The sequence below is a fragment of the Homo sapiens genome, chromosome 1 (genome assembly GCF_000001405.40).
Source record: "Homo sapiens chromosome 1, GRCh38.p14 Primary Assembly".
Classification (NCBI taxonomy): domain Eukaryota; kingdom Metazoa; phylum Chordata; class Mammalia; order Primates; family Hominidae; genus Homo; species Homo sapiens.
The window spans coordinates 226,357,742-226,369,751 of record NC_000001.11 but is presented as its reverse complement, the minus strand read 5'-3'; the positions used below and the strand labels follow the sequence as shown (position 1 = coordinate 226,369,751).

Here is a 12,010-nt window from a genome sequence, read left to right as displayed (position 1 = left end):
AACTCCTGGGTTCAAGTGATCCGCCTGCCTCAGCCTCCCAAAGTGCTGGGATTACAGGCATGAGCCACCACACCTGGCCTGAGAATACTATATTTTTTATCTGAGTTTGGTTGAATTCTCAACTGCAGAGCCCACAGGTGTAGAGAGCTAACTGTATTTATTGAAAACATCTGTGTATAAGTGGACCCGCATACTTCAAATCGATTGTTCAAGGGTCACCTGTGTTGTGGTTTTTATTTTATGTGTCCTTAAGAGTTAGGCAGAGTTTATTTTGCAGTTACTAGGAAGTCATCAAATGGAAGCCTCTTTCATTCATGTTATTTCAACATTCTTTGAGCATCTTTCAAGGTCTACCAGTCCCGGAGCCTTCCAGCTACATCCTGGAGGGGCTGGAGGGTTCCGCTTATATTTGTGGGTGGGTGCAGGCCTGGCCTGTAGAAAGAAGGAAAGCACACAGGAAGCAGAAGTGGGCCCAGGCAGCGGGCTTTCTGGCTGGTGCTGGAGAAAAGGCGCTGAACCGGATCTGTCAACTTCAGTTACAGCTGGCTCTGAGCAGTGAACCTCTCTCCTTGTTCCTTACTGACTGAGAACTTACAAGGCTTTCCTCGGCCCCAGCTTCTTCCCATGCAATAGTCTTCAGGAAGAAGAGCTGGAATAGCATCCTTACCCATTGCCAGAGCCACCTGGGCAGCACAGATGGAAGTTGTACAACTTGGTGAAGTCCATGTCACAGCGAGAAGCAGGCGTGGGGCTTCGGACCTGCTGGGTGCCACTTCATATTCCCTTGACCTTCCTGTGGTCACCTAGGCTGTCTGCGAAATTCCTGGAATCCCAGTGGCCCCGCTCTTCCATCTCTGTGCATTTTTTGTGCACCCTTTGCATATAGAGCACCAAGTGACACTGGCAGTGAGTGTAAGGATTGCTTAGCCTTTCTGTGCCTGGCCACCTCAACCTCCAGGTACAGTAAAAACTAATTCCAATGAAGGTCAGTGGAGGCAGGGAGCCTGACTGAATTTTATAGCGATGGGCAACCTCCTCCCAACATTTTATTATGAAAATGTTTCAAACATACAAAAAGTTGAAGGAATTTTACAGCAATAGTCATTAGCCCACCACCTAGATTTTACAGTTAACATTTTGCATAGTTGTGGCGGGGTTTCAAATGTCTGTAACTGCACAGTTCTTTGTACAAATGAAACTTCATGGGAGAAGCCCATCACGTGTTGAGCAGTGCTTTTAGAGGATGGGGGTCCTGCCCTGCTCTTTAACAGGAAGATGGTCTTCTGGTCGTTTCCCATGTGTCCTGGCATGTGCACATACCACGCTACTTCTGGACCTGCTGCAGCACCCACCTGCTAAAAGAGAAAGCCTGGCCGGGGGCTTGGAGCTGCTCCCTCAGTCTTGCATTCCTTCTGTCCCCTCCTCTCCAGGCGGTGTCTCAGGGCAGCAGCGACTCTCAGATCCTGGATCTCTCAAATCGCTTTTACACCCTGATCCCCCACGACTTTGGGATGAAGAAGCCTCCGCTCCTGAACAATGCAGACAGTGTGCAGGTAGCGCAAGGGTTCAGAAGGGACTGCAGGTCTGCTGGGCTGGGGTGTGACTACCTTGCAGCCGTCCCTCCCCATCATGATCCCTGAGGGCAGCACCAATGCTGGGAGGGCCACCCTCTTGCCCTTGTTTTGAAGTTGGGTTTCTACCCACATTGATGGAGGCAGAGCTGTTTTTCCTGCCCCTGTTCTACCAAATCCACTGGGGAAAGAGCTGTTGGAGAGGGACAGCCTCTCCCTCATAACAGCATCTTCCTCCCCATTTTCCCTCCCTGCCTTTTAAGACAGCTCCTGGCTCAGGACCCATTTGTCTAAAGTACCTTCACTGTAGGTCCCAAATGTCAGCATGTACGAGAGGAAAGACAGTTCTTCCACCTCTCAACTCCCCCAGGCCACAAGGCCTTGTTAACATTCCAGAAAGTCCTTATGAGCTCTCAATATGTGCAGCAGGTAACAGGCTGGCCCTGACCAGCAGGAGGGTTTGCCATTCACTGTGTTGGACCTTCTCTGCATGTAGGTTTTCTCTGCCACCTGGGTGAGTCTGTCTCATTCACCATGATACCTAAGTCGGGGGCTTTCTTTTGCTCCTCCAGGCCAAGGTGGAAATGCTTGACAACCTGCTGGACATCGAGGTGGCCTACAGTCTGCTCAGGGGAGGGTCTGATGATAGCAGCAAGGATCCCATCGATGTCAACTATGAGAAGCTCAAAACTGACATTAAGGTAACAGGGTCAGGCCTTCCTCAAGCATCTTAACCTCTCATCCTGAGAGCAGCGGTCCCAAACTTCCATGTGTGTTAGGATCTCCTGGAAAGCTTGTTAAAACACAGGTGGCTGGCGCCCAATAATTCACTTTTCTAACAAGTTCCCGGACATTGCTGCTGGTGGTCCTTTGAGAACCTTTGGGCGTTTCACGTGTAGATAATGCACCTTGTTTGCAAGGCAGCCTTCCAAGCCAGCACCTCAGCTTGGCGTACAAATTTATTTTTGAGGGTCTTACCAAAAGTTCTTTTTTGTTTGTTTGTTTGTTTGTTTCCTCTCCTTAATCTAGAGAGGAGCTCTGTTTTTCTAAACCCTTGTAGCGTGAACTTTTAGAAGACTTATTACCGGTGTCCATTTCAGAAGTGGAAATGCTTGATGGCACCTGTAATAAAAACACAATGCTTGCGTTCATTTTTCTCTGGTGCTGAAGTGGACTGTGTTGGCACACACAGTCTCTGAACACCCCGCTTAGACCAACTAGAGGAGGGATTTTTGCCTCAGCTTCTAGATGGCCCGGTCCTTGAGCCTATCTCCACACTCATGTGCCCCATTGTCCTCAGCCCATTCCCTGCAGTGTTGCAGGGGTTTGGGTGGGCGAGAGTATGTTGAGTCTGGTACCAGGTGTTTACATCGCTAAAGAAAGAGCCTTGGCTTCTTTCCTAGGACAAAGTATAGACCTATGGGTCCAAGCAGGGTAAGACACCACATGTCATTTGTTTTGCCCCTAGAGCACCTTCCTGATGGGAAAACTGTAGGTGTGGTTCTTCGTGAAGGGATTCTTATTCTCTTTTTACAATTCTGAAGCCTTTTAATTAAAAGACAGGGAGGTAGACCAGCATTCTAGGTTTTCTGAAGTTTGAATATAAATATGAAAATAAAACATAACTAGTCTCCTCCGTAATACTCAGGCTTACTGAGCATAGATTACATCAGCTATTTGACAGATGCTTGTTAGGCCTGTGCTCTGAGCCAGGGATAATTTTCATTGCACATCATAGCTGTGACTTCCTCTGGCCCATTGTGTTTTAACTCATGCTGAGCTGGACTCTCTTCCAGGAGCCAATTGCTTGTTCTGGAGATGCCCTGTTCACTGACAGTGAATCCCACATTCTAGCTTCCCTGATATCCCAAAACATAGAATTTTAAGACAAAAAGGAACCCTGAGATTCTCTAGCAGCCCAAGTAGATGAAGAGGTGGAGGCTTAGGTAAGTGGAGCCACTGGCCCAGGATCTGCCCAGCCCACAGGCCTGGGACACAGGCTCTCGGTCATGCCCGGCTTCCTTTGAGGAGTGTGGTGTTGAGCTATGCATTGACTGAGCCTGAGCATTCCTCCTCTGTAGCTCTCCTGGGTCTCTTTTGTGCTAATCCCAAGATTCTGTTTATCCAGGTGGTTGACAGAGATTCTGAAGAAGCCGAGATCATCAGGAAGTATGTTAAGAACACTCATGCAACCACACACAATGCGTATGACTTGGAAGTCATCGATGTAAGAATCCCTTCTTCCCCCACTTCCTTCTGTGTCCTGCCAGCTCTTCCCTGCCCACTCCTCCAACCTGGGCCTGGGTAGAAAAGAGCAGTTTATTTACTTTAAATAACCCAAAGAAGTGACTCATTTGTTCAGCAGAAAAATTAGTAGTTTTTTTTTTGTTTGTTTGTTTTTTGTTTTTTTTTTTGACATGGAGTCTCACTCTATCACCCAGGCTGGAGTGCAGTGGTGCAATCCCGGCCTGCTGCAGCCTCTGCCTCCTGGGTTCAAGTGATTCTCCTGTCTCAGCCTCCAGAGTAGCTGGGATTACAGGCGTGAGCCACCACACTCTGCTAATTTTTGTATTTTTAGTAGAGATAGGGATTCACTATGTTGGCCAGGCTGGTCTTGAACTCCTGACCTCAGATGATCCGCCTGCGTTGGCCTCCCAAAGTGCTGGGATTATAAAATTAGCAGTCTTATACAGTAGTTTGGGGATGGCTTTTTATTCTGTTTTAAAGGACATTTCCTGTCCCCAAACCTGGTCTCAGAACATAGATTATCAGATGTCCAAGATAAAGTTCCTCAAGTGCACATCTGCTGCACAGTAATACTAACCAGCAATGGCTGGGCGCTGCTGGGCAGGACCTGGACCTTCCATCCCAGCCTTGTGGAAAACACTTTTTACATTGCAGCAGACCTTAAGTCTTCTAGCCTTAGGGACAGCCGGTCATTTCTCGTGTATCCAGTCCTGTCTTTCAGTCAACCAGAGTAACAAATGGCTTCTTTTGTCCTTCCCTTTGTTTACTACTCCAACCAGATCTTTAAGATAGAGCGTGAAGGCGAATGCCAGCGTTACAAGCCCTTTAAGCAGCTTCATAACCGAAGATTGCTGTGGCACGGGTCCAGGACCACCAACTTTGCTGGGATCCTGTCCCAGGGTCTTCGGATAGCCCCGCCTGAAGCGCCCGTGGTATGTGCCTGGCCTGGCGAGGGGTGGGCAATGCCTGTCTCTGCAGGTGTCTCCATAAAGAACTTTGAGCAAGAGGTCTAGTTGGTTTAGGGGGATTCTGCCAGACATCCTTTCTTTGGGCCTTCACCCTTTTATCCTCCTGACCCTAACCCTGTCAGGGGTTTCAAACACAGTTTCTGGAACAAAGGAGGCAGAGCATCCAGGCCAGGGCCTGCTGCAGATGCTAATCGGGTGTGTTGACAAGCAAAGAACAGACACGTGGCTACAGGCCAAGCTGAGTCCAGGCTTATCTCTACCACTTCCCAGCCGGGCCACCTCTGAGTGTCAGTGTCTTCAGCAGGAAAACGTAGCGATGAATGAGTAAGGCTTTACCTAGACACGAGGGATCGTGATGCCACCTGCTGGATTCTAGATGGGTCCACCTGGACAGGACCTTCTAAGCCTCTTGTTTCACAGTTGTAGAATGAGGAGGAGAGAAGTTTAAATGATTCTCTCTGGGGCTGTGCAGTAGTGTATAACGGGCAAATGGCCTACCCTTTGTGAACCTCGTGTTTCATTTACAAAAGGGAATAAAAATACCAGCCTGCATTCCTTGGGTGTTGACAGGCGCTAGTTTAAGTAACACTGATGAGCTCATTCCGTCCTCATGGCAGCTCCATGAGACTGTGTTCCCCATTTGAGAAAAGAGGCAAGTAGAGTCCAGAGAGGTTACGTAGCTTCTTGCAGCTCCTTGGCACCTGGCAGAGCTAGGATCTGACAGCCTGGCTTGTGAGCTAAAACTTTGGTATTTCCTCACCATGGGCATTGTGAGAATTAGAAGTGATGGATTGCAGCACTTAGCTGGGTGGCTTGCTCAAGTTGGCACTCAGTGAACAGCTGCTCCTAATTTCCCATCAGAAGATTCTCAGCTCTCCCTTTTCCGACCTTCCAGACAGGCTACATGTTTGGTAAAGGGATCTATTTCGCTGACATGGTCTCCAAGAGTGCCAACTACTGCCATACGTCTCAGGGAGACCCAATAGGCTTAATCCTGTTGGGAGAAGTTGCCCTTGGAAACATGTGAGTAAACCTGGCTCTGGGACTGATGGCATTTCATGGGGACAGGTGGAATGGGCTATAGGCAGAACTCCCCTTGGCTGGGAGAGTAGAAATTCCCCACTGCAGTTACTGGACGCACCAATTAGGATTCTTTTCTTATAAGTAGCAGAATCCAATTCAAGTTAAGGGAACAAGGGAGATACAAGGATACTTCAGGAAATGCAAGGGCAGGAACGCAGCCAGGCCTCCAGAGCTGGCAGTGTCTTCTCTCCATGGACTGGGAAGCAGAGAGATTGAGTTGCACAAAGGATGATCCCCCAGGCCGCCTCCTCCACTCACCAGTGTTTCAGTTTTCTTAGACCAACCCAAATGGAACTGGAATTTTAATTCCACTTCCAGATTCTCCATAGAGAAAGATCTGATTAGTCCAGCTTGATTTGGACATCGACCCTAGTCCTGTGAACTGTAACCAAAAGCACAAGGTCATGTAAAAGGCCAGGGGTCTGGGGACTGTGGAATGTGGACGGAAACCTAGAGCTGCTGACCACCACTCCAAATAGGGCCTTGCCTTGAAAATGGCCCCATAGCAGTGATCGCTGGGCACAAACTATGTTCAGCCGCAACTGCAGTTTCAGGTTCTGGAACAGTTCCAGAAACTCAGGAGGGAGCCTGAGCAGTTTAGATGGTCTGGGTTTTGTGGACTTTTATCTCATCTCTGTATCTGATCTTATTCTCCTAATCAAACTGTTGGTTTCGAGAGCCCAGTGTGAAGGCCTCTTCTGAGACTGTCCTCTTTTGAATAGGTATGAACTGAAGCACGCTTCACATATCAGCAAGTTACCCAAGGGCAAGCACAGTGTCAAAGGTAAAGTGTTTCCAAAGCTGTTGCTACAGCCCGAGGCACCCTGGACAGCACAGAAGCCGGGGGCTTGCTGTCCTGAGAAGGCTGCCTTGTGGCTGGCTGTCAAACAGCTGGAGATTCATTTTATCTTTTCGAGGGGTGTGTGTGCGTTGTTGTTGTTGTTTGGGGGGTGGTGGTGGTGGTTAATATGCTGCAACTGACCATGATTGGAGGTTCATTTTATTTATTTTTGTAAAAAAAAAAAAAAAATAGGCAAGCTCTATAGCAGGAGGTTCATTTTTAAAAACAGTTCACTCTCTGTGGCTGCAGCTGGTATCACAGATGCCACAGGAGAATCTTGGTGCAGGCACCAGTAACCAGATGCACGGGTTTCGGCTTTAACCTAACTTGTAGCTACAGCAGTGAGGGACCTCTCGTGACATAGTAGTGCCTGGAGCATCTTGGATTGCTAGAATTTGCAGCATATGATTTAGAACCTTCCACTGCCTGGTTGAAGTGGCCGCTTTGAAATTCTATTGAGCCGAAATGTGATCCTGTAGGGAGGGTACTGCCACTGTTCTCATTAAACTCAGTGAAGGTTGATGCCCTGGGAACTTTGGTTTATTGCCTTAGTTTTATATCTGAAGAAAGATAGAGCATGTCTTTAAAATGAGCACATGAGGCTGGGTGTGGTGGATCACCTGAGGTCAGGAGTTCGAGACCATCCTGGCCAACATGGTGAAACCCTGTCTCTACTAAAATACAGAAAATTAGCTGGGTGTGGTGGCGCGCACCTGTAATCCCAGCTACTCAGGAGGCTGAGGCACGAGAATTGCTTGAATCCGGGAGGCGGAGGTTGCACTGAGCTGAAGTCACACCATTGCACTCCGGCCTGGGCGACAGTGAGACTCCATCTCAAAAAGGAAAAAAAAAAAAAAGAAAGACCACATGGACCCAACATCAAATAGAGCTCATCTCCCTGGAAGCTTTGCCACATCTGTACTCACAGTTCATGTCACTTGTGACTTCTGTTTTTCAGGTTTGGGCAAAACTACCCCTGATCCTTCAGCTAACATTAGTCTGGATGGTGTAGACGTTCCTCTTGGGACCGGGATTTCATCTGGTGTGAATGACACCTCTCTACTATATAACGAGTATCCTTTCTTGAGTATGCTGTGTGAGCACAAAGGGATGTTCTCGAGCTACAGAGTCACTTATGTGCTGTCAGATTACCTGGGGCAGACAAGGATTAGAGGCTGTCCTGTAGTGTGTCCCATGGTGACTGTTTCCCTTCTGTGGTCCCTCCCTGTGCATAGCCTGGCTTACAGGGTATGAGCCTTCCCCCAGTTTCCAGAGGATGATCTCCTCTCCTCAGTCTGCCTGAAGAAGACTTAGAGTAACTTTCAGGCTGGCATTGAGCATCCTGCCAGCCCCGGGGAGATGAGGCAACCCAGCCCCATGAAGAGGCCTTAGAGTGACTTTCAGGCTGGCACTGAGCGTCCTGCCAGCCTGGGGGAGATGAGGCACATGTACATACCCTCTGTTGTATGGCTGTTGGCTCCTTAACAAGCTTCCCCTCAGGTACATTGTCTATGATATTGCTCAGGTAAATCTGAAGTATCTGCTGAAACTGAAATTCAATTTTAAGACCTCCCTGTGGTAATTGGGAGAGGTAGCCGAGTCACACCCGGTGGCTCTGGTATGAATTCACCCGAAGCGCTTCTGCACCAACTCACCTGGCCGCTAAGTTGCTGATGGGTAGTACCTGTACTAAACCACCTCAGAAAGGATTTTACAGAAACGTGTTAAAGGTTTTCTCTAACTTCTCAAGTCCCTTGTTTTGTGTTGTGTCTGTGGGGAGGGGTTGTTTTGGGGTTGTTTTTGTTTTTTCTTGCCAGGTAGATAAAACTGACATAGAGAAAAGGCTGGAGAGAGATTCTGTTGCATAGACTAGTCCTATGGAAAAAACCAAGCTTCGTTAGAATGTCTGCCTTACTGGTTTCCCCAGGGAAGGAAAAATACACTTCCACCCTTTTTTCTAAGTGTTCGTCTTTAGTTTTGATTTTGGAAAGATGTTAAGCATTTATTTTTAGTTAAAAATAAAAACTAATTTCATACTATTTAGATTTTCTTTTTTATCTTGCACTTATTGTCCCCTTTTTAGTTTTTTTTGTTTGCCTCTTGTGGTGAGGGGTGTGGGAAGACCAAAGGAAGGAACGCTAACAATTTCTCATACTTAGAAACAAAAAGAGCTTTCCTTCTCCAGGAATACTGAACATGGGAGCTCTTGAAATATGTAGTATTAAAAGTTGCATTTGAAATTCTTGACTTTCTTATGGGCACTTTTGTCTTCCAAATTAAAACTCTACCACAAATATACTTACCCAAGGGCTAATAGTAATACTCGATTAAAAATGCAGATGCCTTCTCTATTTGTGTATTGCGTGTCTGGTCTCATTCTGACTACAGATATGGTTAATCTTCACAGTGCAAGGTCCCAAGAGACTTTGGGGGGATTGTTTCTACCCTTAATCTGTGAAACCCCAGAACGTGCCAGGCAGCAAATAGCATTGCTTAATGGGAATGCCCCACCTAAGGGTGGGCCAAGCACCAGGCATAGGAGACACTTTTTTTTTTTTTCGGCTTATCAGATGCATTGTGGTGATGAACTCATCCTGCTCTCTGGAGGACTGCCTTTCATACACCACATTGCCTTGTACAACTGCTCTGCATTTGAGAATCATACTTAAATGTTTACGTTTCAATTGCCTGAAAGCAGGGCCAGTGTCTTATGTCACCTCTGACCTTTTACGGAAGGGGACAAGTGAGGTAGTAGCTCACACCTGTAATCCCAGTGCTTTGGGAGGCCGAGGTGGGAGGATCATTTGAGGCCAGGAGTTCAAGACCAGCACCTTTGACCTGGAGACCCTCTCTCCTGATCATCCAGCAATCCAGGCTGTTCGGCTCTTGGGCTCCTGAGTATTCTGCACTCTTTACCTTTTTTTTTAATCAGCACAGAGAAAGGCAATTACCCTCACAGTACCTGATGAAATAAGTATTTTTAGGTTGGAGTGATTACTTAGTGAGTTCCCTGTAATCAAAACTGGTTTCTTTTTTTAAGGAAGATTCACATTTCTCAATCTATTTTCCTTTCAAAAGAGAGAAATTAGCACTTTATGTTTTAGTATACACATTCTGCTTTTCTCCCTTCACTTTAAAAAAATTCAAGTCCTGGCCGGATGCAGTGGCTAACACCTGTAATCCCAACATTTTGGGAGGCCAAGGCGGGCGGTTCACGAGGTCAGGAGATGGAGACCATCTTCGCCAACTGGTAAAATTTCATCTCTACTAAAAATACAAAAATTAGCTAGACATGGTGGCGCTCACCTGGAATCCCAGCTACTCAGGAGGCTGAGGCAGGAGAGTCGCTTGAACCCGGGAGTCAGAGGTTGCAGTGAGCTGAGATCATGTGTGGCAACAGAGCAAGACTCCGGTCTCAAAAAAAAAATTCAAGTCCTATCTCAGGGTAGCAACTAAAATGTGAGAATTTCGTTTAAAAATTAAAGCCAACCGTGAACCTGGGGTTGGAGCCTGCAGTGAGCCGAGATCGCGCCACTGCACTCCAGCCTGGGCAACACAGCGAGACTCCGTCTCAAAAAAAAAAAAAAAAATTAAAGCCAACCTTGCATAGAAACTCGGGGTGCTCCATGAGAGAAGAGAGAGGTATAGCCCTCTGCCCCTCCTGGTGAGCTGCCCTCCTCCCGCCTTTGTGCCTGGAAGTGCCCTTGGCCAACAGTAGTTGCCCAAGGCAGTACTGGGCTCACATGTCAGAGCACACTGTTGCACACAGTGGTGCATGCATACATCTATAAAAGATGCGCTGCGTACACAGTAGTGTTTTAGCCAATGTGCTAGCCAATGAATTCTGCATCAGTGGTTATCTCTTGCTACACAAGAGGTGAAGAACCATTCCTTCAAGCGTCCCAGAGCTCTAAGGCGAAGCTGCTATAGAATGATTTGCCTAGAACTTTGCCTTAGGGCAAACCTCAAGTACTGCTTTTAGGAATGAAATCTAATGGTGGCCTTGTCCCTGGTGCGGGCATAGTATGTACTCAGTGTTAATTGTTTACACCAAAAGCCTGGAAGCTGCATTGTCTTTTGGCCTTCAGAAACCTTGTATCTTAACTGTTAAGATCTGAACATTGGGAATCATTCACCTCTGACCTGTTGGGCTGGTTTTATTCCGCTCTATAAAGTACACCCAGGTGCTTTAGGAGTTCGCATTTCTCAAAGTGGTGTCATTGCCTTTCCCTTAAATTCTGTTTTGACTCCTCAGAGATTGGTGGTTGCTTTTTTGAGGCATAGTGTTTCCACCATTTCATCAGGCAGGGCCTGCCAAATTGAGTCTAAGTTGAGGCCATTGAGGTTTAGGGAGGTCTGATACAGTGCTTAGCATCCCACTGCCCCCTCACTTCTGCCATTCAGCCTCAGCATGGAAGGTTAGATGGCAGCTTCCCTTTGGCATGTGCCAAATATGCCCATTTGTATGGCTTAAGAGGTCAATGTTGGTTTTCTCATTTCTCTTTACTGTTCTCTAGAGCAGGTCATCTAGGTTATAAGATATATTTTGGAGACTTCAAAAGTAAAGAAAATGTGGCCTGTAAACACCTTCCTCCTCAGCGAATTAGCCCTTATGTGAAAAATGTTGCCCACTGGACTAGGGAACAGTGCTGGTAATAGGGACAGCTGGTGTGCGTCCTATGGGCCATGTGGACTCAGAGCACTCAATGCCACCCACCACTGTGGCATTCTGTATAGCTTTGCTTCTGATCAGCGACCTCATTCTACAGCACAGAGTTCAGCATCAGGCTTGTACTTAGAATTAACTGGTTTTGCCACATGCCCCATCACCCAGAAATGACCTAAATGAAGAGTAGAATGGCTCATGATGGTGCCAGTTGTGAGACAGCGTCCTGAAGGGATGGGGTTTCATCTTACGGATGCAGTAGAGGCTTGAAATCAGAGACCAACCTGGTGTCTCCCCCCCGGCCAAAGCACATGGGTCTGGGAACCAGTGGGTGAGGTGGGAGTAGTTCCTCTTGCTGTCACCACATCTGATATCCCCTCACAGGGCTTGTGTTTGGAGGTCTTAGTCCCTAAGGGAGAGATGCTTCTAGCGGACAACACAATTATGGTTTCATCGACTTAGAAGATGAGGCTACCATATGGCTGTTTGGGGCTCCTTGTACCACTGCAGCAATGTGCAGAGGAGGGGGTGACCTTGCTGGCAGAAGGGACTGATCCTGATTACCAAGGGGAAAGTGGGATGCTGCACAGGGAGGCAAGCAGGACTATGTCTAGAGCCCAGGAGATTCTCGGGA

The 12,010-nt window shown here is 47.5% G+C and overlaps 1 protein-coding gene across 1 annotated transcript in view; it reads left to right on the top strand.

Annotated features, from left to right (window-relative positions):
- Nucleotides 1–9,061, top strand: part of PARP1 (poly(ADP-ribose) polymerase 1) — a 47,403-nt gene extending 38,342 nt beyond the window's left edge. Inside the window, exons 16-23 of the mRNA NM_001618.4 lie at nucleotides 1,431–1,553; nucleotides 2,144–2,272; nucleotides 3,700–3,798; nucleotides 4,598–4,750; nucleotides 5,682–5,809; nucleotides 6,592–6,653; nucleotides 7,669–7,783; nucleotides 8,211–9,061. Coding sequence (NP_001609.2) covers nucleotides 1,431–1,553; nucleotides 2,144–2,272; nucleotides 3,700–3,798; nucleotides 4,598–4,750; nucleotides 5,682–5,809; nucleotides 6,592–6,653; nucleotides 7,669–7,783; nucleotides 8,211–8,292 — 891 coding nt within the window. The 3' untranslated portion in view covers nucleotides 8,293–9,061. The remainder of the gene's footprint in view (nucleotides 1–1,430; nucleotides 1,554–2,143; nucleotides 2,273–3,699; nucleotides 3,799–4,597; nucleotides 4,751–5,681; nucleotides 5,810–6,591; nucleotides 6,654–7,668; nucleotides 7,784–8,210) is intronic.
- The last annotated feature ends 2,949 nt before the right edge of the window (nucleotides 9,062–12,010 follow it).